At 42.7% G+C, this 25358-nt stretch overlaps 2 protein-coding genes across 18 annotated transcripts in view, besides 1 other annotated feature; one reads left to right on the plus strand and one right to left on the minus strand.

Annotated features, from left to right (window-relative positions):
* The window catches only part of PAPLN (papilin, proteoglycan like sulfated glycoprotein), a 38819-nt gene extending 35152 nt beyond the window's left edge, over positions 1 to 3667 (plus strand). For all 13 annotated transcript variants that reach the window (NR_158678.2, NR_158677.2, XM_011537292.4 and 10 more), the window contains one exon: positions 1539 to 3667. Coding sequence is in view for 11 of the 13 variants with exons in the window: in XM_011537292.4 (XP_011535594.1) it covers positions 1539 to 1708 (170 nt within the window). In the remaining 2 variants the exon portion in view is untranslated. The remainder of the gene's footprint in view (positions 1 to 1538) is intronic.
* NUMB (NUMB endocytic adaptor protein) overlaps positions 4260 to 25358 on the minus strand; it is a 183331-nt gene continuing 162232 nt past the window's right edge. For 3 of the 5 annotated variants that reach the window (NM_001005745.2, NM_001005744.2, NM_001320114.2), the window contains 5 exons: positions 21778 to 21918; positions 16154 to 16358; positions 13125 to 13418; positions 11403 to 11549; positions 4260 to 6337 (listed from right to left, as the gene is read on the minus strand). In NM_001005745.2, coding sequence (NP_001005745.1) covers positions 5622 to 6337; positions 11403 to 11549; positions 13125 to 13418; positions 16154 to 16358; positions 21778 to 21918 — 1503 coding nt within the window. In that variant the 3' untranslated portion in view covers positions 4260 to 5621. Of the gene's footprint in view, positions 6338 to 8324; positions 8469 to 11402; positions 11550 to 13124; positions 13419 to 16153; positions 16359 to 21777; positions 21919 to 25358 lie in introns of all 5 variants that reach the window. The other 2 variants (NM_003744.6, NM_001005743.2) reach the window with 1 other exon arrangement.
* Positions 5572 to 6072: an enhancer, noted in NCBI's record as "H3K4me1 hESC enhancer chr14:73743236-73743736 (GRCh37/hg19 assembly coordinates)". NCBI's record gives its function as "activates a minimal SCP1, AML or CMV promoter by ChIP-STARR-seq in naive H9 embryonic stem cells {active_cell/tissue: H9 hESC(naive)}" and the evidence as "EXISTENCE:reporter gene assay evidence [ECO:0000049][PMID:30033119]".

Below are 25358 nucleotides of genomic sequence, written 5' to 3' on the forward strand. Positions count from 1 at the left end.
AGGCTGAGGTAAAAGGGACATAGCTCTACTGGGAGGACTTCTCAACATCGCTGTGAAGTAGGTTGCTGTTGCTGTTATTAGTCCCATTTCACAGATGAAGAAATGTGCATAAAGGGCTTAAGCAACTTGCCCAGAGTTACCCAGCTGGCAAGTGGCAGAGCCCGGATTGAGCCCGGGCAGTATGGGTCCAGAGCTGGTGTGCTTAATCACTATGCTGAGTTCCCACTATGATGGGTCTTGGGCTGTACCAGCTCAGAGTTGATACCAAAGTTACAGATTTTTAGAAACAATATGCATTAATGGCTTTGTTATCTATATAAATTTAGGTAGGTAATAGTCTGGTTATACCAATATACCAAACGTTTGTAAGGTTGTTCGCTGCTAGGTACAGTCTTTTAGTGGTATTTTGTGAGTAAACAAGGGGAGAGAGAAAGATAAGCTTTCTCTGGCTGCTTGAGGTCTGACTTCAGGGAAGGTACCACTCTGGTCTAAGTCAGCTGAGTTTTAAGAACCCCTTCCAGAAGAGAGATGAAGCAGTAGAATGAAATTTTTTTTTTTTTTTTAAGACAGAATCTTGCTCTGTCACCCAGGCTGGAGTGCAGTGGTGTGGTCTCAGCTCACTGTAACCTCTGCCTCCTGGGTTCAAGCGATTCTTCTGCCTCAGCTTCCCGAGTAGCTGGGACTACAGGGGCACGCCACCATGCCTGGCTAATTTTTGCATTTTTAGTAGAGATGGGGTTTCACCATATTGGCCAGGCTGGTCTCAAACTCCTGACCTCGTGATCCGCCCGCCTTGGCCTCCCAAAGTGCTGGGATTACAGGCATGAGCCACCACACCCAGCTGAATGAAACTTAATAGGGAGTTATGAGATACAGACGTTCCTAGTAAATTCAGAGGGAGAGAAAACAAGGGCTTTGCTTTGTTCTCAGTGTAGTTAGTATTAGAGCCACCGTTAACAGGACTGTTTTCCTATTACCTTGTCTAATATGCATTGCTTCCTCTGGGGAAAGTGAAAAACTGGAAGGATGAGGACCCAGGTGACTAAGATAAGCTGGTGATATTGAAGGGACAAAACTTTGATGGTTGGAGGAACCCAGCAGAGAAAGGGAAAAGATAAGAGCTCTTGCTAACTCAAAATTTTACTTGGGGCTGATCCTACCTGCTCTCCCAATCCAGAGGCAAGAACAGTTGTCATTTAGTAATTCAGGTCTCAAACATAAGGAGTTAACTTCAAGAGATGTTTAATTATCCAGTCAATAAATATTTGGGAGTCTAGGAAGAGCTATTCAGTGGGCTGAGGCCACAAATAATAATGGGAGGACCACTGCATGTTGAAGTGAGGCCAAGAAACAGGTAGAAATCATCATCCCTCATAGAGTTTGTACGTATGGTTAAAAGGTTACAGGGTAAGTGCACTTCGTTTTCAATCTGGCAGTTATAATGCTGTGTTCCTTTGAAGGAAATGAAATGGCAGGTGAGAATTTTCAGCATACACAGAGCTTCCTCACCACCTTCTCTCTCCCCTGTCGTTCTGCAGCACCCACCGCCCAGCCCAGGGACCCTGGCAGGGACTGCGTCGACCAGCCAGAGCTGGCCAACTGTGATTTGATCCTGCAGGCCCAGCTTTGTGGCAATGAGTATTACTCCAGCTTCTGCTGTGCCAGCTGTTCACGTTTCCAGCCTCACGCTCAGCCCATCTGGCAGTAGGGATGAAGGCTAGTTCCAGCCCCAGTCCAAAATAGTTCATAGGGCTAGGGAGAAAGGAAGATGGACTCTTGGCTTCCTCTCTCTGGCTGGCAAAGGGAGTTATCTTCTGGAATACATTAGCTCTTTCAAAAACCCACCCAGTGTTTAGCCTCAACGGCAGCCAGTTACCAGCTTCTCTCTGTAGCCTTCAGCAGTGTTTGCATCTCTGACATAACCACAGGCTGCTGTTTTCAAGAAGAGCAATCTGTTTGGATAAGAAAAACCTTTACTTTACAGCTTCCCTTTATAATTTGTTACACAGGAATAGTTAAATGCATTTGTTTGTTTGTTTTTTGAGACAGAGTTTCACTCTTGTTGCCCAGGCTGGAGGGCAATGGCGCGATCTCAGCTCACTGCAACCTCCGTCTCCTGGGTTCTTGATTCTCCTGTGTCAGCCTTCTGAGTAGCTAGGATTACAGATGCCTATCACCATGCCTGGGTAATTTTTGTATTTTTAGTTGAGATGGGGTTTCACCATGTTGGCCAGGCTGGTCTCGAACTTCTGACCTCAGATGATCTGCCCGCCTCAGCCTCCCAAAGTGCTGGGATTACAGGCATGAGCCACCACGCCCAGCCATCAATGCATTTTTTTTATTTTTTTTTTGAGACAGAGTTTCGCACTTCTTGCCCAGGCTGGAGTACAATGGTGCGATCTTGGCTCACTGCAACCTCCACCTCCTGGGTTCAAGCGCTTCTCCAGCCTCAGCCTCCTGAGTAGCTGGGATTACAGGTATGTGCCACCATGCCTGGCTAATTTTGTATTTTTAGTAGAGACGGGGTTTCTCCATGTTGGTCAGACTGGTCTTGAACTCCCGACCTCAGGTAATCCGCCCGCCTCGGCCTCCCAAAATGCTGGGATTAGAGGTGTGAGCCACTGTGCCCAGCCCATCAATGTGTTTTAAAGCTAGCTGTCAGGGTTCCACTTAATTTAAAGCTGGGCAGGGAGATGTGTAATGATTTCAAAGTTAACACCTGTTTGTTTTCTAAAGGGCATGCCAAGTCCTGCTGTATCAGGGAAGTATTCTGTGCTAAAATCAGCGATGGTTCATTGCTCTAGTCTCTCTCACCCTTCTAGGCAGTGCATCAGTCAGCTCTAAATCTGGTGCAGAGGGTTAACAGCATAACCCTTGTTGGCAAAATGGAATAGATGTTAAGACCTCAAATAGGGATTTGGGATGAAACAGCTGCAGTTAGCACTGTTATCTGAGCATGAAAGAACTGGAAACGCTCCTTACGTCGAGATGTTGGACCTTGAAGCCCTCCTGAGGCCAACATGCAAATCTGGCTGTGACGGTTCATCTGACACCTGTGTAAAGCTGACCAGCCTGCTCTGTACAGTGACAATGAGGAGCCCCTCTCTTCCTTAAGTAGGAATCTGTGAAGCAAAATGTTTGCTGCCAAAGACAAATCAGACTGTCAGTCATTAAAAACAGCATTAGCAGGATGAGGATAGCAATGGGGAAGGGTTGTGGGCAATGCAGTAACAGGGAAATGGCTTCAGAAATGGTTTGAGTTGGAAGACAACATTCTTCATCTCTCAGGACTTCTAATTCCTTGATGCTAAAAGAAGAGGCATGGATTCTATGAGCTTCCAAGTCCCTTTCCACTTTAACCTTCTACAAATCTTTCAGAGGACTGCCTAGTAGCAAAGGTTATTCCTGGACACAGGAAAGACGGGCATTACAGGGACCAAAGCTCTGAAAGGTGACTTTTATTACCAACACACTGGCTGGAAAAGGGACAAACCACATCACGGGTGAGTGATACTTCTCAGTCTTCTCTACTCATTCAACAAAGGAAATGTGGGCTGGGGCAGAGGTCTTTTTTCATTTAATACTGGAAAAATATTGAAGAGCATCCATGTTCACTTATGGCTGGTTTTGCTATAGAAATTGGAAAATAAAGGCCACTTTTTTGAAATCCCCAGTTTAATTAAACCAGATTTTGGCCTATTGGTATAAACACATCAGAAGGTAAGTTTGAGGTTAGCTAGCAGCTAACTAGTTCTAATAGAACCAGTCACAGAATAGTGGGCTAAGATTAGAGGTAAAACTCATTCTAGGCCAGTGGTTCTCAACTTTACCATATTGCGAGCTTAAAAAAAAAAAACACAACCTGGGGGGTCCCCCTGCCCCACTAAAATTTTGATTTAATTGGTCTGGAATATAGGCCAGGCGTTAGGATTTTAAAAAGATATCCTCAGGTGATTCTATTGCATAGCCCAGGTTGAGAAGCACTGCCCCACCCCGCTGAGATTCTGCATTTCTAACCAGCTCCTAGGTGAAGTCCATGCTGCTGTTACAGACCACACTTTGAGCAGCAAGAATCTGACTTTAGAGATACACTCAGGATTAAAGTATGAATGAAAATATGAATCTTAAGGGTATTTTTCTAGTCACTAAACTAGGGATTTACAGCAGCAGTAGAATGGAGAGTAAGACCAAAAGAACGAAAAATAAATTCATTTACTAATAAAGGAAAGGGGAAAGAACAGCCCTTCATGGGCAAAAGCTTCTACCATGAACATTTATTTTTGTTAAAGCAGATTATAAATTTTCATCAGTACAAATATATATAACTTACATTTGATTGTAAGGCCAACGTTCAAAAGTAAAAATGAGATGAGCTCTCTTATTGTTATCCGAGGTCAAGAGGCTGCAACTGTCAAGGGGATGTTCTCACCAAAAGGGGGTTTGGGGGAAGAGGACACACACAAAGCTAATAAAACCAGAATCCCCATCCCCACAAAACTCATGGGAACAAAATTTAAAGGATAAAACAAAACCCACCAAGACCCATATTACAAACCAATATGGTAACCTGTGTTCCCTTCTATGGTATGATTATGTCATGTTACCTTAGTGTTAAAGGATTAACATAAGGAAACTGCAGCAATATATAAAAGATATATTCTCTATAGAGCATATTTCGATTGATTCCATTAAAATAATGACATTAGAATTCCATCATAGGTTTAAAACCAGGACAATACTGCTTTTCCTTTATTTAAAAAAAACTACAACCTAGTGACTGTATTGGTCATAAGCATGATTGTTGTTGCAATGTGCTACTTACAATGAATGACTGACAGAAAACAAGCTAGGGATCCTGTCTGCAGCTTCCAGCCTTTCCTCTTTTTATTTCAGTAGGCATCAATGATAAATCAATCTTATGTACAATTTCTTACAACTAGCCCCTTTACCTTTGGCAAGATTACTTACAACTCATACAACTTCTTAATATCTGAGAACTATTTAAAATATTCTAAATGCATAAAAATAAAGATTTTGGCTTTTGATATATATAATATTTATTCTGTTACTCAAAATGGAAGCTCAACTTCTCCCCCAAAATATAGCTCTGCTGGGCAGTTGCTGATATGCCCTCCTGGGAATTCTGGCAGCATAGCGTGCCTCTCTGTTCCCCAGCCTGAGCACAAACCACTCTTCTTGATCTCTAATACAGGCCACTACTGACAGGAGGCAGGTGAATGGCCTGAAAAACAAAGGGAGATTGCTTTGCTTCCTGTTGTGTTTTACATTTCAGTAAATGTGCTTGGAATATAGATTCTTGTTCAGATACTTTGCCTCTCTGTTGCCAGAGATTTGTAAGGGGGTAAGGGAAGAGGGAGTACAGAAAGCAACATTTCCTTGACTTCTTTAGCCTAATTGCAAGGCAGCTTTTCTCTAGGAATGCTTTTTCCCATGTCTTTCAAAATCACCCCTCACAGTACTCTGGGCCTGGACTTGTTCCTTGGGACCTTTGGGATTAGTGAAAAGAGTACTAATCAGGAGACAAAGTCTGTTTTGCTCCTTTGACCGCTACCCCCTGCTCCCTGTCTGGTATGGACAAGATACATAGCCATAATGATTGCTTAAAGTTCAATTTCAAACGTCTTCTGTAAGTCACTGGAGAAAGGGTTGGTAGGGGAGGGATTAGTACGCTGCTTGGACTTATTTTCTAATGCAGCCCACTGGGCTTCAAAAGGATCCACTGGGCAGGTGCCTGTAGGAACCTCTGTATGCCTGTCTGCTGAGGCCAACCTGCCATCATCTACACCATTGAAAGCTGCAGAACCGTTGAGGTGCTGAGCAGGAGGCTTAAAGAAGGGACTGGTGGTAGCACTGCTTGCCTCGTAGTGAGGGAATGTCTGCTGCCTGACCAGGCTGGGTGACTGATGGGGATGGGCAGCCTGAGGGTGGCCTGCAGTGCCAAATACGTTGGCCACCATCTGGGAGGGAGTGATGCCCACCACAGGCACATTAGGGGCTGGATAGGGCATTCCATTGGCCACAGGATAGGACTGGGCAGGGACAAAGGCTGGTTGCAGGGCTGGGACCACACCCACTGGCACAGGCTGAGAGGTGAGGAATGCATTCCCTTGGAAAGGTGATGCTGGCTGGGAGATGGCAGTGGGTGGAGGAGGCTGGAGAACTGGCTGCAGAGGAGCAGCTGAGGCCTGGGGCTGCTGAGCCCGGACGCTCTTAGACACCTCTTCTAACCATCGGTCGGCCTCAGAGGGAGTACGTCTATGACCGGCCTGGAAGAGACCTGGAGAGGCAGCACCAGAAGATTGACCCCACTCGGTCCCTGGAACCAACAAGATGAGAGACAAAAGAATCAGTTAGGGGCATCTTTCCTCACCTTATAATCTTGGTTATTTGAATGATCCTAACATGTACAACATGTCCCCCCCTAATGGGACATTTTGTGGTTTTGATAGGTAGGAGTAAAGTCTCTATTACCAACTGGGATTTTGTGGTAGGATGAAGAAAACTTGTCAAGACCATGCTGCTGTGTCAGCCACACTGAAGCACTGTCTAGATATGGCTCAAATGCATTAAACCACGGCAGCTGACTGATGTCAGAAACCCCTCGCTGTTGCTATGGCTCATCCACAATACAGAAACTAGCTGGTTGTGGTAGCTCACACCTGTAATCCCAGCTACTTGTGAGGCTGAGGCAGGAGGACTACTTGAGCCCAAGAGCTGGAGGCTGCAGTGAGCTATGACTGTGCCACTGCACTCTGGCCTGGGCAACACAGTGAGAATTCTGTCTTAAAAAAAAAAAAAGGCCACGTGCAGTGGCTTATGCCTGTAATCCCAGCACTTTGGGAGGCCGAGGTGGGCAGATCACCTGAGGTCAAGAGATCGAGACTATCCTGGCCAACATGGTGAAACCCCGTCTCTACTAAAAATACAAAAATTAGCTGGGCGTGGTGGTATGCATCTGTAGTCCCAGCTACTCGGGAGGCTGAGGCAAGAGAGTTGCTTGAACCTGAGAGGCAGAGGGTGCAGTGAACCAAGATACTCCAGCCTAGTGACACAGCGAGACTCCGTCTCAAAAAAAAAAAAAAAAAAAAAAACACCTAGCTTGCACATCCTCTAAAGGGCCCAAGGCAATTCATCTTCTGCTCTAACAGAGCAAAAAGAAAATAACCAGTGACCTGGCCATATCTTGCTGGCCTCTGCCTGGCTTCCAGAAATATGTTGTCTTTTTGGTGAACTGCCTTTATTACTATGTTAAAACCTTTTGAGGCCGGGTGTGGTGGCTCACACCTGTAATCCCGGCACTTTTGGAGGCCAAGGCGGGTGGATCACGAGGTCAGGAGTTCGAAAACAGCCTGGCCAACATGGTGACACCCCATTTCTACTAAAAATACAAAAATTGGTTGGGCATGGTGGCATGCACCTGTAGTCCCAGCTACTCGGGAGGCTGAGGCAGGAGAGTTGCTTGAACCTGAGAGATGGAGGTTGCAGTGAGCCAAGATCATGCCACTGCATTCCAGCCTGGGTGACAGAACAATACTCCACCTCCAAAAAAAAAAAACTTTTTGGTTTTATAATTAATAGATGTTTTTTATACAAAACTAGAAAGTACAAAAAAGCAAAAATGAAGTGCTTTTTCTAGCACTTTTTGTAGGCCTCCTATTGTAGGAGCAGGGCCCCCTCTTTCTACAGGAATGTCTGCACATCACCAAATCCGGTGATGGATTCTCTGAGGTGGGGCCCTGGAATCTTTTTTTTTTTTTTTTTTTTTTTTGAGACAGAGTATTGCTCTGTTGCCCAGGCTGGAGTGCAGTGGCGCAATCTTGGCTCACGGCAAACTCTGTCTCCCAGGTTCAAGCGATTCTCCTGCCTCGGCCTCCTGAGTAGCTGGGACTATATGCGCATGCCACCGCGCCTGGCTAATTTTTGTATTTTTAGTAGAGATGGTTTCACCATGTTGGCCAGGATGGTCTCCATCTCCTGACCTCGTGATCCACCCACCTCAGCCTCCCAAAGTGCTGGGATTACAGGCATGTGCCAACACACCCAGCCGGAATCTGTATTTTATAAAAGCTCTATGGGTGGGGCTCTGTTCCACAGTCCTGTTCCACAGTCCTAATGACTATCAGTCTGATCTCTTTTGTTCTCCTTCACCATCCTTTCTTATGTAAGCAACTTATTTCTAGGAGGGAACATAGTTTTCCTGAAAGGATTCCTCCCTAGTTCCCACTCAGCTAACTGGCTGAGTTTTAGAACCAGGGTCACTTATCTGATCCCAGAATCCTCAACACCATCTGTGGCCACCTTACCCGAACATGTGGCTGCAATTTCCTTGTTAGCAGCATCAGGGGCATGGGCCCAAGGGTTGGTTTCACGCACAGGCATTGCTACGGGTGCTAGAGCAGTATGGGCTGGCTTAGCAAGCACATGGAAGGCTGAGTCAGTGCCATTAGCTACAACGGGAGCAGACAACATCAATGGAGTTAATTCATGCAGGGTGTACAAGTGACCCCTTGGAGCTGTGTCAGTCAGGTGAATGTACAATACTGGTGGAATGGATAAGAGAGAAGAGTTGATGTTTGGGAAAACCATGATATCTTGCATTGGATGTACATACCATTAGGCAAAGAAGCAATCAGAGATTGTAATTTTTAAATGGTTGTATAGATAAAGTCAAATAACTGTTCTAGGAAAATATGTGCATGGGGAGTGGGGAAATGAAACCTACGAAAACAATTTCAAATTAAGGTGAACAGAGCTGCTGCGTCTTAGGAGCAGCAAAAAATATCTAACTATTCTAGATATAGCTTAGCCTTCGGCATAATGAAGTAGGTATAGCATTTCCCTCTTCTTCACTTTTCCAAAAGGTCAGATTATGTTAACAATAATACTGGTTAAAAATAGGCCAGGTGTGGTGGCTCACGCCTGTAATCCCAGCACTTTGGGAGGCCGAGGTGGGTGGATCACCTGAGGTCAGGAGTTCGAGACCAGCCTGGCCAACGTGGCGAAACCCCGTCTCTACTAAAAATACAAAAATTAGCTGGGTGTGGCAGTGTGCACTTGTAAACCTAGCTACTAGGGAGGCTGAGGCAGGAGAATCACTTGAACCCGGGAGGCGGAGGTTGCAATGAGCCTAGATCACACCACTGCACTCCAGCCTGGGCAACAGAGTAAGACTCCATCTCAAACAAAAAAAAATTACTCTTTGTTTCCTCCTCAAAAGTTAAAATGTATATATGATTCGTTATTATGTGCTAGTCATTAAGCTAATATTTTACATGCATCATTTCATTTAATTATCTCAAAAACCCTACGAGTCTGGTATTATCCCCCTATTACAGATGAGAAATCGAAGTTGGTATGTTTTCATTTGCTTGATAGATTTCTAATTTGCTACACAATTAATTTCAACTTTTTTTGAAGGTTTTTTTTTTTTAACTCTCCTGGTAACTCACAGAACATTTTTTAACAAAGATTTTTTTCCCCCTCTATGATGTTTACAATATCACAACATACCTACTATTCTTTCCTCATCTCCCCTTGTTAAAATCTGCTAACCCTTGTTCCTTTTACTCCAGATACCTATATTAGTTTCTTCTCCTTAGCCCAGCTCTCAATAACATTCAGTTTGGTGTAGACAAGCACCCTCCCCTGACCTACAATATAATTATATCCTTTTTAGGACTGGACAGCCATGCCTATGGTGTTGGTACTATTTTTTTTTTTTTTTTTTTTTTTTGAGATGGGGTCTCGCTCTTGTCACCCAGGCTGGAGTGCAATGGTGTGATCTCGGCTCACTGCAACCTCCGGCTCCCAGGTTCAAGCAATTCTCCTGCCTCAGCCTCCCGAGTAGCTGAGATTATAGGTGCCTGCCACCATGCCCGGCTAACTTTTGTATTTTTAGTAGAGACGAGGTTTCACCATGTTGGCTAGGCTGGTCTCGAACTCCTGACCTCTGGTGATCCGCCTGCCTCAGCCTCCCTGTTGGGATTACAGATGTGAGCCACCGCACCCAGCCGGTGTTGGTACTGTTTACCTAGAGTTTGTCTAAAAGACTGCCTTTGCTTTTTTGGTGGCAAAAAAATTTTTTTTTTCACCTAGAAACTGGGAGCCCTCTAAAGGCAGGGAAAGGAAACTGAAATATTCAATTTTGCACACTTAGTGCCTTGTAGGCTGGCAGAATCAGCAGAATGTAACGGGTACTATATTCAGGAGGACCTGAGTTTAAATCCTGTCTGTAAGATTTGGGCAATTTACTTATCCTCTCTGAGCCTCTTTTTTTTTTTTCATCTGTAACACCTACCTCACAGGCTTGTTGTGGGGATTAAATGAAATAATGCATGAATACCTACCACAATGTGGCAAGCAATGTGTAAGTGCTCAATAAATGGTGCCTATTATTACCGGTATTATAAATGTTTGTTAGATGACATGAAAAGTCATTTGGTACACATGACTATGAAGGTTTATTAAAAAGAAAAAGAAAAAGACCCTTGGAGAAAAAGTGTGTAGTTCTTCCAGTAGAAGCAGGGCACTATCTCTGGAGTAAAACTTCCGCTGAGCTCTCTTTCAAAAGAAATGGAGAAACAGCAATTATAGCAGCTCAAATTCTACAAGTCTGTAACTTAAGTTACATAAATTCTTTGCTGACCTCTGAGTCAATATCCACTATTTAGTCAGTATCTCTGAAAACAACTTTTAACTCTTCAATGCCACAAAGGCAAATTTTAAGACACTTGTTATAGAAGATGAACTAAAGAGCTCAAAGGAGTGCCTTTTTCTTTATTAGCCTCTTTGACAGGGCAGAGACTAGGTGAGTCCAGGGCTTCTCAACATTGGCACCACTGACATTTTGGGCTGGATAATCCTTTGTTGTGGGTGCTGTCGTCTACACTGAAGGATGTTTAGTGGCATTCTTGGCATCTAACCACAAGCCAGTAACACCCCCAACCCCCAACTTGTAAAGCCCCAAAATGTCTCCAGACAGTGAAAGACAAACTTTGCCCCAGTTGAGAACCACTACACTAAAGAAAGCATAACCTTTGAACCAATTCTGATGACTACTGCTTTTGGGAAACTGGATGGGTATGCTGATCCTTAACAGTCAAGTGGGAAATAAGGCAGTAGGTTGGGACTACAGAAATTCCTTATAGAATGGGGTGAAAGATGGGCACATGCAGAATGACAAACACAGACATCTTAGAAAACAGGAAGGGCACAAAGACATCGTCGAATGGAGAAATCAATGAATCTAAGACATCAAATAGAGAAATTAATGGGTCTGACCAGGCCTTGGGAAGCTCAGGATGCCAACTTACAGTTAGTGAGCAGTGTACTAAAAGTACTGGTTGTAAAGAGAACAGCTGAGCAGGTCAGAGGGCACCAACCTTGGAAGGTAGGAGATTGTGGTGCCACCACTGTCACTGGTTTGGTCATCGGAGCAGATGAGAAGGGGTCCTCAGGTGTGCTGAAGGCATTGGTGATCTGTGAGCACAGGGAGCTGATGCTCTCTGCCTCCCCTTCTACTTCTGGCACTGCAAGGCAAACAGAAAATGGCTCCAGACAGAAAAATGGAATAATCCTGAAATTTGACAGTATGATGCAAGCTGGCACTTTATACTGTATCTCCTGCTTATGTAAGAAAAGGCTCAATTAACTGTATGGCAGGGCTACAAAACCAGTTTCAAAAAATTTACTGGCCACAATTTCATTGGCTTTTCAGATGGGAAAGTATAAAATGTCAACAATTAATGTACTAAGGCACATCTTCCTCCCTTACAAATCCCCAAATTTCTTCATTTCTTCTTCTTATAACACTGTTGAGGATCTGTCCTTTTTGTGCCAAGATGTTCAGCTAGCCAGATCTTTGTAGAAGACATTTGCAACCTGTATGCCTTCCAACGTGTTCTCAAGACTGTGATCTGAATTAGGTTCTGGAGCCTTTAGTAATTCTGTCAGGAAAATGGGTTCAAGTCTGGGCACTAGTGGATGCTTAGTGCTTTTCTCTGTAACAAACTATGACAATGTCATCAATCTCATTTTTCTCCAAAGTCTCCAGTACTAAGCATATGATCTATGATAACATGAAAAAGTGAGCAGAGGTGTAGGACGCTAGGGCCTTTATTCTTAATACTGACTCTAGGATACTTCTGTATCACTGAGGAAGCTAATTATGTGTGCTAAAGCTCTGTTTGCTCATCTGTAAAGAGAATAATAGTTTTTATTCCCTGTCTGCCCTAGAAGGAGACTGAACTGAAATGAGGTACCTCAGCTGAGAACTGAAAAGACCCTCCGTAATCATCTAGTCCAACTATTCTTTAGGCCTAGTTTCATCTGTCAGATGAACTTAACTCTCTGTACTTTTATACCATCAGTAGGAATGGCCTATTGAGACAGTTTCCTCATATTTTGTTATAGCAATGGCTTGACATGTCTCAGAGGGAAGTAAAATAGAGCCCAACAAAAGCACTGACCAGATCTAATACTTTAGCTACAGATTTTATGACGAGGATAGACCTATAGAGGCTGGCATAGCTGTACAGAGGCCACACAAAGGCCTGTGAGACGGTTCTGAAAGGTAATGAATACTTGTGAACAAGTCCACTGTCTGTGATGAACAACAGATCTTAGATGTACACGAAAGACCTGTCTAGAGTTTCCTCCTTATGGAGCCAACCAGCCAGAAGGACAATGAGCACATATCCATTTCTTCTGCTGGTAATGCTATGTGTTTCTAAGGCCTCTTTAATTAATTCCCTGCTGGGTCCCAATGGCAGAATAAGAATAGAAACTTGAGACCCTTGATGTTTGGGAGCAGGTTGGCTGAAAGGCAGTGAATGCACTTACATCAGGACAAACCACAAATCTTATGGCTTAGGCTAGAAATTCCACAATGGCTCTGCTGCCTGTTTGTTGAAGAGAAATTATGGATTCACATCCCCCTCCACGGACCTTAGTTTTCCCACTATGGGAAATGACAAAAGATACAACTATCAACGAACCTCAGGGAAAGAGGAATGCCTAGTTTAATGGGATTAGTGTCTTCATGGGAAGTGATGAGAATGCTTCAGTGCTCGAGTACCCAGTGAGTCAGGTAGATGCTACATTACCTGCATTTTTAATGGGGAAATCAGTCTTCCTCTGCATAGTGGAAGGCAACTCATTGATGCGTAGGGATAGTTGGCGTTTAAAGGGTGACATCTTCTGGCTAAGAGCAGGAAAACCTCGGAAAGAGCCTTGGCGAGCAAGCTGTTCAATTGGAGCATGCCGGCGTGGGATGGCATGAGGATTGTTCATCTCCAGAGAGGTCGTGGCATCAGAAGTAGGAGAGGTGGGAGAGGATGGGGATGGGGCAGTGTTGCCAGGGGCAACTGATGAACCAACGACTATCTTATCTGTTTCAGCTCAAGAAAATAAAGAGAATGAAGACCTTAGCAATGTCTTCAAATAATTTGCGTTTAGAGAGCTGACAAATTCGAAAGCCCTCTAGGTCCTTTTACCCATTTCCTTCCCAGTGTCTCTTAAAACATAAGTTAGAAGCAGGGTTCGGATCCATTTTTCAGACAGATAAAAGGCTTAGTAATGTACTATATGTCACAAAGCATATCTACTAAGACAGAAATGTTAGATCTTTTATTCTCATTCAGTGATTTATAAATTAAGACTGTGAAAAAGATCTTAAAAACTCAGTTCCTATGAATTCCTAATATGTAGTCTTTTAAAGAATGATTCATGATTTTCAATGCTTGTGTGTTAGGGGAGGAGAACTTTGGGAACTGTAGCATTAGAAAGGTCTAAATAAGCATAAGCTTAACCATATATCTTTGATTAGGTGTCAAAGAATGTCATATATAACAGTCTTTATTTATTTATTTATTTATTTATTTATTGTTTGAGATGCAGTTTTGCTCTTTTTGTCCAGGCTGGAGTGCAATGGCACCATCTTGGCTCACTGCAACCTCCACCTCCCAGGTTCAAGTGATTCTCCTGCCTCAGACTCCCAAGTAGCTGGGATTACAGGTGCACACCACCACGCCCAACTCATTTGGTATTTTTAATACACACGAGGTTTTACCATTGTTGGCCAGGCTGGTCATGAACTCCTGACCTCAGGTGATCCACCTGCCTCCGCCTCTCAAGGTGCTGGGATTACAGGTATGAGCCACCACGCCCGACCTAAAGCAGTCTTTAAATCATGCATTTGTGGTTCATTTGAATAAAAGCATGCAGTAGTAAAATTTTGAACTGGATTAAATTTGAGTAAATGTAAGACTGTGGGTACCAGTTGAGTCCCATTCTGATTGTGACAAATCTCAACCACCAACTCTCACAATCCTTTGTAGATCTTGGGACTCAATCTCTTTGCAGTTGTTGTGCATAACAATGAATATTATTTGGTGGTATTAAAGAACATGCTTAATTAGTGAATAGTCTGAAGACCACTAAAGCATATTAGATAACAGTAATACAGGTTAAATTTTCTAGTACAGATAGCATGATTTTTCCCCCCTTTGGCTTCCTGGTGCAAATATTTACAAGAAATGAAAAAAAATCACTATCAATAATTTCATTTCAAATAAAAATATGTATGCTTTTTTTTTGGAGGGGGCTTAAGAATTAGAGCTGTTTGGGTCAGTATTAGTCAATGATGCTAACCAAAAGGGCTGGTTTAAGGTCAGGTGCGGTGGCTCACACCTGTAATCCCAGCACTTTGGGAGGCCAAGGCAGGCAGATCACCTGAGGTCAGGAGTTCAAGACCAGCCTGGCCAACATGGCGAAAGTCCATCTCTACTAAAAATACAAACATTAGCTGGGTGTGGTTGCATTCACCTGTAATCCCAGCTACTCAGGAGGCTGAGGCAGGAGAATCGCTTGAGCCCAGGAGGTGAAGGCGGCAGTCAGCGGAGACTGCGCCACTACATTCCAGCCTGGGCAACAGAACTACACTCTGTCTCAAAAAAAAAAAAAACACCGAAATCAAACCAAAACAACAACAACAAAAATGACTAGTTTAGAACTAAAAGGTTATAGTAAAAAAAATTATCATATATATATATTTGTTTGTTTTTAAGAGACAGGGTTTTGCTGTTACCCAGGCTGGAGGAGTGCAGTGGTATGATCACAGCTCACTGTAACCTTGTACTCCTGGGCTCCAGCAATCCTCTGGTCTCAGCCTCCCAAGCAGCTAGGATTACGGATGTGCACCACCAAATATGGCAATTTTTTTTTTTTTTTTTTTTTTTTTTTTTTTTTAAGGGATAGAGTCTATGTTGCACAGTCTGGTCACAAACTCCTGGCCTCAAGTGATGTTTCCTCCTCAGCCTCCTAAAGTATTGAGATTACAGCTGTAAGCCACTATACCTGGCCTCAAAATTATATTAATGTCTATTAGTTAACTTGAATTGTTTGTGCTTGTCTTGTTGGTTTTAACCCTACTTATATACAAGAATTCAAAAGTATTTTCAAGCCCTATCATTTAGTTGTAAAATATACCCAACTCACATTTATAGACTGCCAACTAACTTGAATGTTTGTACAGGCATTTCTGCTGTGATGCCATGTGTACCTAAATAAAACTCACACTCTATAAAATCACACACTAAATTAAATTAACAGGGCTATAGAAAAAAAGAGTTATAGGCTTACCTCTCAAAATCTATAGACTTTTGTGACTAGAAAGCACTAAAAAACAGCAATAATATCATATAAACAGTATTACTGTTAAATCTCTCTGCTAGCATCATAGTCCGTGGATGCTTTGCAGCCTTAAGCCCTGGGACCTCTGCTGCTTCCTTTAAGATGCAGGTACTTGATTCATTTGCTTCTCAAAGAGATCAGATACATCAGAATTAAAAAGGTATTTCAGGATGGGAGGAAGGGGGTAAGAGATGTCTCTGCAGCTTCTTCAACTGCACTCTGATTCCTCAGATAGCTTACTATAATGGAGTAAATATTTTTGAAGCCATTAAACTAGCCACTCTAAAGGAAGCGGTTTTTAAGATTTTCAACTTTGTTATAAGGTTTTATATTGCTAAGGGTTCTCTTTGATTATGAGAAAATTTACCCCTGGTAGCTTCAAAATAATACCTTGTTGGGAAAAACTGCATTCCATAAATACACACTGTAGAACAGATTGTACCTTTCTTGGCATCTTGCATTTGTTTCATGATCTCCTCTCTTTCTGCTTGTTCAGTGGCTGTTGTGACACGGAATGATCCTTCTCTTGTAAAAGTGGTCCGACTAGCATCAAAAGTAGCAGTCACTCCACATTCCTTCTCCCGCTTCTGCTTGCGCTCTAAACAGGCTGCAAAAGCACAGCCTACTGCATGGCTCAACCTTTCACCCTGTAAGAGCAGATTTTAAAAGCTTTTCAGAATTACACTACTAACAATTACATACAAATAAGTCTTTTGTTTTGTTTTGTTTTTGAGACAGAGTCTTACTGTTACCCAGGCTGGAGTGCAGTGGCGCAGTCTCTGCTCACTGCAACCTCTGCCTCCGGGCTCAAATACTTCTCGTGCCTCAGCCTCCTGAGTAGCTGGGACTACAATCACGCACCACCACACCTGGCTAATTTTTGTATTTTTAGTAGAGATGGGGTTTTGCTATGTTGGGCAGGCTGGTCTCCAACTCCTGGCCTCAAGTGGTCTACCCAATTCAGCCTCCCAAAGTGCTGGGATTACAGGCATGAGCCACCACACTCGGCCCAAATGTCTGTTTTTATGAAAGCAAGATGTTGCAAATTCCAGCTTAAAATTGTTTTAATAGATTAGTATGCCATATTAATTTAAATGAATAAATTTTCTAAGGTAGTGCTTATGATGGTTCAATTCACTGTTACAAGCCTTGGGGTAAAGTGATAACCAGCAACCTGTGCTTTTGTAAGCAGCCATGGAGAACTCTTTATCACTTAGGCTCTGTCATGTCAGCCCTGGCCAACAGCTTAGAAGACTCTATGCAAGGTTTCAAGCCTTGACATGCAAGCTTCTAGTTGCCCTTTGGGGAAGCAGTGGGAATATTTACCAGCCACTTCTAAGAAACTACTGGAAAGGCAAGGCAAATTTCAGGAGCTTAATGCACTGTTAATATGTCTAGGAAAAAAAGGTGCAAACTTAAAACTTCTGATAAACAAATATAATTCCAGTGATTAAAAAGGAATGAGGCTGGGCATGGTGGCTCACATCTGTAATCCCAGCACTTTGGGAGGCTGAGATGGGCAAATTGCTTGAGCCCAGGAGTTTGAGACCAGCCTGGATAACACAGTGAGACTCTGTCTCTACCAAAATAATAAAAAAAATTAGGCCAGGTGCGATGGCTCACACCTGTAATCCCAGCACTTTGGGAGGCTGAGATGGGTGGATCATGAGGTCAGGAGCTCGAGACCAGCCTGCCCAACGTGGCGAAACCCCGTCTCTACTAAAAATACAAAAATTAGCCGGATGTGGTGGCGGGTGCCTGTAATCCCAGCTACTTGAGAGGCTGAGACAGGAGAATTGCTTGAAGTCGGGAAGTAGAGGTTGCTGTGAGCTGAGATGGCGCCATTGCACTCCAGCCTGGGCAACAAGAGCAAAACTCCGTCTCAAAAAATAAATAAAAATCAAAATAAAGGCCGGGCACAGTGGCTCATGCCTATAATCCCAGCACTTTGGGAGGCTGAGGTGGGCGGATCACCTGAGGTCAGGAGTTCAAGACCAGCCTGACCAACATGGAGAAACCCTGTCTCTACTAAAAATACAAAATTAGCCAGGCATGATGGCGCATGCCTGTAATCCCAGCTACTCGGGAGGCTGAGGCAGGAGAATCACTTGAACCCAGGAGGTGGAGGTTGCAGTAAGCCACGATCGTGCCATTGCACTCCAGCCTGGGCAACAAGAGCAAAACTCCGTCTCAAAAAAAATAATAATTAAAAAAAAAGAAAAAGAAAAAATTAGTCGAGTGTGGTGGTGGTGTGTGTCTGTGGTCCTACTTGGGAGGTGGGAGGATCACTTAAGCCTACAGTAAGCTCTAATTGTGCCACTGCACTCCAGCCTGGGTGACATAATGAGACCCTGTCTCAAAAAACAAACAAACAAACAAAACTAACAATGAGACAAAAGCTTTGCTGTCTCCCCTTTCTGAATCCCCCCTCTAAGCAACCCTCCTCATTTATGGCCCTCCGTGCTTTTAGGTTTTCCCCCATACCCTTCCTATCTTCCTCTAGCTCTAATTCCCAACTCTACCTCCCAACCAAACACAGGCAAAAGTGAAAGCATGTTTTCATCCACACTGTCTACTTATAAAAGAATTAAGCAGATAAAACTGGTTTGTGTATGGGAGGAGTGGAGGACGTATATAAACAAAACACTGCTTTATATAGATACACTGGATTACCCAGAGTCAATTTAATAAATTCAATGGATGATTTTTAGCAGGGTTATCTGTATTTTAGACCATTTTGCTAATTGTGGAATAAAAAAGCTAGAGATGGTACAATAATTGTTGGCATCATTCACAGTGAGAAGAGATATTTGGGAACAGGAAGTCTTTTGTGGTGTTCTCAAAATCACATCACGTAGGCAGCTGCTCCTACACACGGCTCTGAACAAGTCGTCTCACTGGATTTTGCATGACAGTATTAGTTATCATAAGGACAGGTAAGGTTTAAAATGCTTTATGTCCCTAAGATTTTACTACCTTTGACTACTTTTTAAAAATTTTTAAACTTTTTAAAAAAACTTTTGACTACTTATTTAAAGACTGATAGAATTACTCTATGAATCCACATGAGTTTCCATCTAACTTCCCAGTAGGATGACATTAGGCCAGATGTTAAAGCATGAAACAGGAGTACTGAAAGATTCTTAGAATGTGTTTGCATTTGAACGCAGGTCTATTATAAGGACAGAGCTACAGGTCAAGGAAGCTTGCTTATTCTTTCTCCTAGGCCTAGGGCAGAAGTTGTTGAAGAGTGACCTCATCCCCAACCAACAGCATCATCTGGGAACATTTAAGTGCAAATTCTTAAGTACCAACCCCAAACTCACTGAATGAAAAACGCTGGAGATGGGGCCCAGCAATCTATGTTTTAAAACAAGTCCTCCAGGTGATTTTGATACAGTAGAACTATTGGCCTAGGAGATTCAAACAGGCTGCCGGGCCACTATTTGACAACAAAATGGTTTTTAAGTTATTATCTGGAAACTCTTGAACTCCAGATTTTTAAAGTGTAGTGATAGCAAAATATACCCAGTTTGTGGTTTACTTAGGGTCTGAGAAACAGAAGACAAAAGCACAGTTTTGTTACTTCAACTCATTTCAAAGCACCTGTGTCAAACCAATGAAGGACAGCTTACACAATATTCGCTAAAATTTTTGGAGTAATGTGGCCCAGAACCTATGCTAAGTGTGCTTATAATCTTTATCCAATTTAGTATTCACAACCACTTTCTCCATTTATAGAAGTGTATACCAAGACAGAGAATGTTAAGTAACTTGCCCCAAATCCCACAGCTAGTAAGAACCAGAATCAGAACTGAAACCCATATCTGACTCAGAGCCTGAGCTCTTAGCATTTGTTTACACCAATGTCTCAAAGATCTTTAAACAATTTTGGTCAATTTTTAGACCATGGCCACTACTTATCTTCCAGATTAAACGTTGGCAAGAGCTTTACTGACCTGTAACCTTCACGAATGGCTATACTGCCTATTCTGTCTCGACACTTGCTGTACATACAGTTTGAGTATCTCTTTTCTGAAATGCTTGGGACCAGAAGTGTTTCTGATTTTAGATTTTTTTCAGATTTTGGAATATTTGCATTATACTTAACAAGCTGACATCCCAAATCCGAAAAGCCAAAATCCAAAATGCTCCAATGAGTATTTCTGTTGAGTGTCATGTCGGTGCTCAAAAAGTTTAGAATTTTGGAGCATTTCAGATTTTCGGATTTGAAATGCTCAACTTATAGTAAAATCATTGTCATTTAAAAGAGACTTGTCTTTCATGTTAAAATGCTGGGTAATTTACATAAAGAATGAAATTATTCTCTATTTTAAAACAAAACTTCTATCATGCAACAATTTCTAGCGTTGTTCATTCTACCGTAACTTAGTATTTCTGTTTAGTTTTTGTTTTTTGTTTTTTTTTTTTGAGATGGAGTCTTGCTTTGTCACCTAGGCTGCAGTGCAGTGGTGCAATCTTGACTCACTGCAACCTCTGCCTCCTGGGTTCAAGCGATTCTCGTGCCTCAGCCTCCTGAATAACTGGGATTACAAGCACCCGCCACCACAGCCGGCTAATTTTTGTATTTTTAGTAGAGACAGGGTTTCATCATGTTGGCCAGGCTGGTCTCCAACTCCTGACCTCAAGTGATCTGCCCACCTCAACCTCCCAAAGTGCTAGGATTACAGGCGTGAGCCACCGTGCCTGGCCTATTTTTGTTTTATTTTTGAGACGGAGTCTTACTGTCGTCCAGGCTGGAGTGCAGTGGTGCAATCTTGGCTCACTGCAACCTCTGCCTCCGAGTTCAAGCGATTCTCCTGAGTCAGTCTCCCAAGTAGCTGGGATCACAGGCATGCGCCACCACACCTGGCTAACTTTTGCATTTTTAGTAGAGACAGGGTTTCACCATGTTGGCCAGACTGGTCTTGAACTCTTGACCTCAGGTGATCTGCCTACCTCGGCCTCCCAAAGTGCTGGGATTACAGGTGTGAGCCACCATGCCCGGCCAGTATTTCTTTTTTCTTTTTTTTTTGGCCAGAGTCTTGCTCTGTCACCCAGGATGGAGTCAGTGGCACAAATCTCAGCTCACTGCAACCTCTACCTCCTGGGTTCAAGCGATTCTTCTGCCTCAGCCTCCCGAGTAGCTGGGACTACAGGCATGCACCACCACGCCCAGCTAATTTTTTTGTATTTTTAGTAGAGACGGGGTTTCACCATATTGGCCAGGCTGGTCTTGAACTCCTGACCTCGTGATCCGCCTGCCTCGGCCTCCTAAAGTGCTGGGATTACAGGTGTGAACCACCGTGCCTGGCCGGTATTTCTGTTTTTATAATAGTTGAAAGTATACTCCAACTCAGTTTTGTTTTTTTGTTTTGTTCTGTTTTTGGAGACAAGGTCTCACTCTGTCACCCAGGCTGGAGTGTAATGGCACGATGACTCACTGTAGCCTCCAACACCTACGCTCAAGTGTTCTGCTCGCCTCAGCCTCCCAAGGCATGTAGAATGTAGCTAGGACTACATGCATGTGCCACCATGCCTGGCTAATTTTTTCTTTAACTTTGTAAAGATGAGGTCTTGCCATGTAACCCAGGTTAGTTTCCAACTTGTGGTCTCAAGTGATCTTCCTGCCCTGGCCAAAGTGCTGGGATTATAGGGGTGAGCCATCAGGCCCAGCCAACTTCTTTCATTTGTAGTAGTCTCTATGCAAATACATTTTTAATACCATACTCATATATGTTAGCCAACAAATACATTTAAGAACCCTGAAAATACTTCCAATAATTAAAAGTTTCAAATAAAGTTTAGCAACCACTATCACCAGACCATTTTTACCTTCCTTTAATGATCTTTGGTTTCAGCCAATCATTTTGTTCAGTGAGTTGCAACTCCTGGGGTTACATCAAGAGTGTGAACTATTTGAATAAAAGGAGCTGAAAGTAGGCTAGTTTAGGCACTTCCAAGTACTTGTTAAAAATGTAGTAGAAACCGCTTGGCTGAGCAAACCCAGAAAGAGCCCAGCTAACTGAGAATACTCATCATGAAATACATATTTGCTGGACTCACTGTGTCCTTGACAGCCATGAAGCAGTGACAGATCCAGCGACGAGTGGTGCCATCACGGCATATGTAAGAAAAGGCTCTATCAAAGTTCCTGTCTGGGGCACAGAAAGAAACTTTCTCTATCGTCTGGTCAACTATGAGGTCCTAGAAAATACGACACACAAAGAAAGAGAAGACTTATGAGGTTATCTGAGCTTCTCAGAACACAGGATGTTCATTTCATGATGCACAATCCATACATCTGATACAACTAGGCTATGGAATACCTAGATCTGTGTCCAGCAGTTTAAATACTGAGAATTGGACTCAGCAGACATCCCAAGAGGCACTTTGCCCAGATACCTCTCTCAACTACATGTTCTAAAGCATATGCTTGTTGATTCTAGTTTTACATCTCTTTCATGGTAGATTCCACATTCAACAATATATGTAAATCAGTATCTTTAATCCTTTGGATAAAAAAAAAATCCTTTGGGTTTATTCCCAAATATAAGCAAATACATATAATAGTCATGTTTATGCTAACTTCGTTACACAATGAACACTACACACACATACACACAGTTCTGCACCTTGCTTTTTTACATTATATATACCCGATCCAGTGAAGTTACTTCAGATACTGTATTTTTCAGGTGTGGAATTTCCACTCGTTTCTTTTTCTTTTTTTTTTTTTTTTTTTGGACAGTCTCACTCTGTCACCCAGGCTGGAGTGCAGTGGCGCGATCTTGGCTCACTGCAACCTCTGCCTCCCGGGTTCAAGCAATTCTCCTGCCTCAGCCTCCCAAGCAGCTGGGACTACAGGCGTGTGCCACCACGCCCGGCTAATTTTTTTGTATTTTTAGTAGAGACAGGTTTCACTGTGTTAGCCAGGACGGTCTCAATCTCCTGACCTCATGATCCACCTGCCTTGGCCTCCCAAAGTGCTGGGATTACAGGCACGAGCCACCGTGCCCAGCCATTTGTTTCTTTTTCATAGTTTCTATTCTCTGCCAAGATTTCTATCTCTTCATTCAACATGAACATATTTCCTTTCTGTCACTGAGTATAGTTATAATGCCTTCTATACACTGTTTTCATTTCTGTTAAGGTAGCAGTCTACTTCAGTGTACCATTTTCTGTACTAGTTGTGGTGATGCTATAAACACAAAACAATACAATGACTCAAATACAAGAGACATTTATTTCTTGGTCAAATAGTGAAGGCGGGCATTTAAAATCTGTCTGCTAATTCCAACATCTGAGTCATCTTGAAGTTAGGTCTTTATTGATTGTTATTTTGATGAGAATAAGTCAGACTTGTCTGTTTTGTTGTATGCTGAGTAACTGCATTGTAGTCATTGTGAATGTTGTATGTGGAAAGAATGGATTCCGTTACATTCCTTGGAAGTGTCATATTTTTGGTTTTATCAGGTAGCTAATTTGATTATACTCAAATGGAAAACTCTTATCTTTTGAACAGCACCTCAGACATCAGGGCGTTTTTGTTCTTTTTTTGAGACTGTCTTGCTCCGTCATCCAGGCTGGAGTGCAGTGGCGCAATCACTGCTCACTGTAACCTCAACTCCAGGGCTCAAGCATCCTCCCGCCTCAGCCTCCCGAGGAGCTAGGACTACAGGTGCATGTCACCATACGTAGGTAATCAAATATCAGTTTTTATATCCTTAGTTGGGCTATTTGGAGTCTGCCTTGAATCTACATGGCTAAAAGGGTCAGAGATTTGGGCAGAATTTATGAACAGAATTTGGGACTACTCCTTTTTGGCTTACTCATTTCCAGGATTCTCTTTTTACTTTCTTTTTTTGAGATAGTCTTGCTCTGTCGCCCAGGCTGCTGGAGTGCAATGATGCAATCTCAGCTTACTGCAACCTCTGCCTCCTAGGTTCAAGTGACTCTCATGCCTCAGCCTCCCAAGTAGCTGGAACCATAGGCACGCACCACCATGCCCAGCGAATTTTTTGTATTTTTAGGAGAGACAGGGTTTCAGCATGTTGGCCAGGATGGTCTCAAACTACTGGACTCAAGTGATCCACCCGCCTTGGCCTCCCAAAGTGCTGGGATTACAGGTGTGAGCCACCACGCCCAGCCTCTCTTTTTACCTTCTAGTGGCTACTGTTGCCTCAAATTCTGTCTTCTGCACTTTGGGACGCCGAGGTGGAAGGACTGCTTGAGCCCAGGGGTTCGAAACCAGCTTGGGCAACATAGTGAGAACCCATCTCTAAAAAAAAAAAAAAAAAAAAAATTATCTCAGCCTAGGAGGCTGAGGCTGCAGTGAACTATGTCTGTGCCACTGTACTCCAGCCTGGGTGACAGTATAAGGCACTGTCTCAAAAAAAAAAAAAAAAAAAAAAAGGTAGGAACACTATCAGAATCAAGATAGACATGAGTTGAGAGGTGGGATAGCAAGGCAATCTGACAGAGCTTCTTGCTCAAAGGTTAAGGGCTTCAGATTTCAGCTTCTGTTTCATAAAAATTTGTGCAGATCATGGCATGGTGTTATCACCAATACTGATCCCAACATGGTATTAGTTCCCGCTTATAGTGAAATACAAGGTGGGAAGATGGTCCCAATGGTGACAAGCCACCAATGACTACTAATTACTACTATTCAGTGTGGAAAAAACTAAACTAATGAATGCCAGTGGTGTAAGTAGCCACAAGGGGGCAATATCACTTTCCAACTATTGTATAAAACAATTAAATACATAGCTTTCAAGTATAACAAATTTCATCCAAACACTAATGAAAACTACACAAGTTCCAAAAAATAATTAAAATGATCACTGTTTCCAACAGTAATGTACTAAAAGTGAAGACTATTGCTTCTCTTGAACTTAAAAAAAAGTATGCAATGTAATAAGGTCAAATAACTAAAATGCAGCTATATTAAACCACTTGAAATTTACCAGGCAAGTTGCCTATCAAAACTGCTTTTTACCTGCCAGACTTTCTCCCCTTTCAGTGGCATTTGAATTTTTTTTTTTTAATTATCTTCTTGTTAAATTTCTTCCTGACTTTAGGTATTCTAGGAAATTTTAATTAACAATTAAATGTACTTATATAACACCCTATGCTTTCTAGGGGTAGAGCTGTGTGTCTATTCTTATTTAGGCATTTAGGATCACTGTCTCTCAAATGCAAAATGGTACCTATGATTTGAGATATTATTTGGATTCTAAGTAAATGTTAACCAAAGAGCCATTCACTAGTCCTTAAGATGTCACTTAAATTGAGTTTTGAGTCAAAAGCCAGGTTAATTAGTTCAAATATCATTTTCTTAAAATAGTGTTTTCTTCAGAGCAAGAAGAAATTTCAGATGTGGAGTCCATCTTTTTTTAATTTTAAAACATGGTAAAAGGATAGTCTATCATCTATTGTATCAAATTTGTGAGAGTGGAAACTTATTAAAAAATATATAAGAACAAAAATAGGCCACGAGCGGTGGCTCATGCCTGTAATCCCAGCACTTTGGGAGGCCAAGGCGGGTGGATCACTTGAGGTCGGAAGTTCAAGACCAGCCTGACCAACATGGTGAAACCTCATCTGTACCAAAAATACAAAAATTAGCGGGGCATGGTGGTCTG

This window comes from Homo sapiens, chromosome 14 (assembly GCF_000001405.40).
Source record: "Homo sapiens chromosome 14, GRCh38.p14 Primary Assembly".
Taxonomy (NCBI): Eukaryota; Metazoa; Chordata; class Mammalia; order Primates; family Hominidae; genus Homo; species Homo sapiens.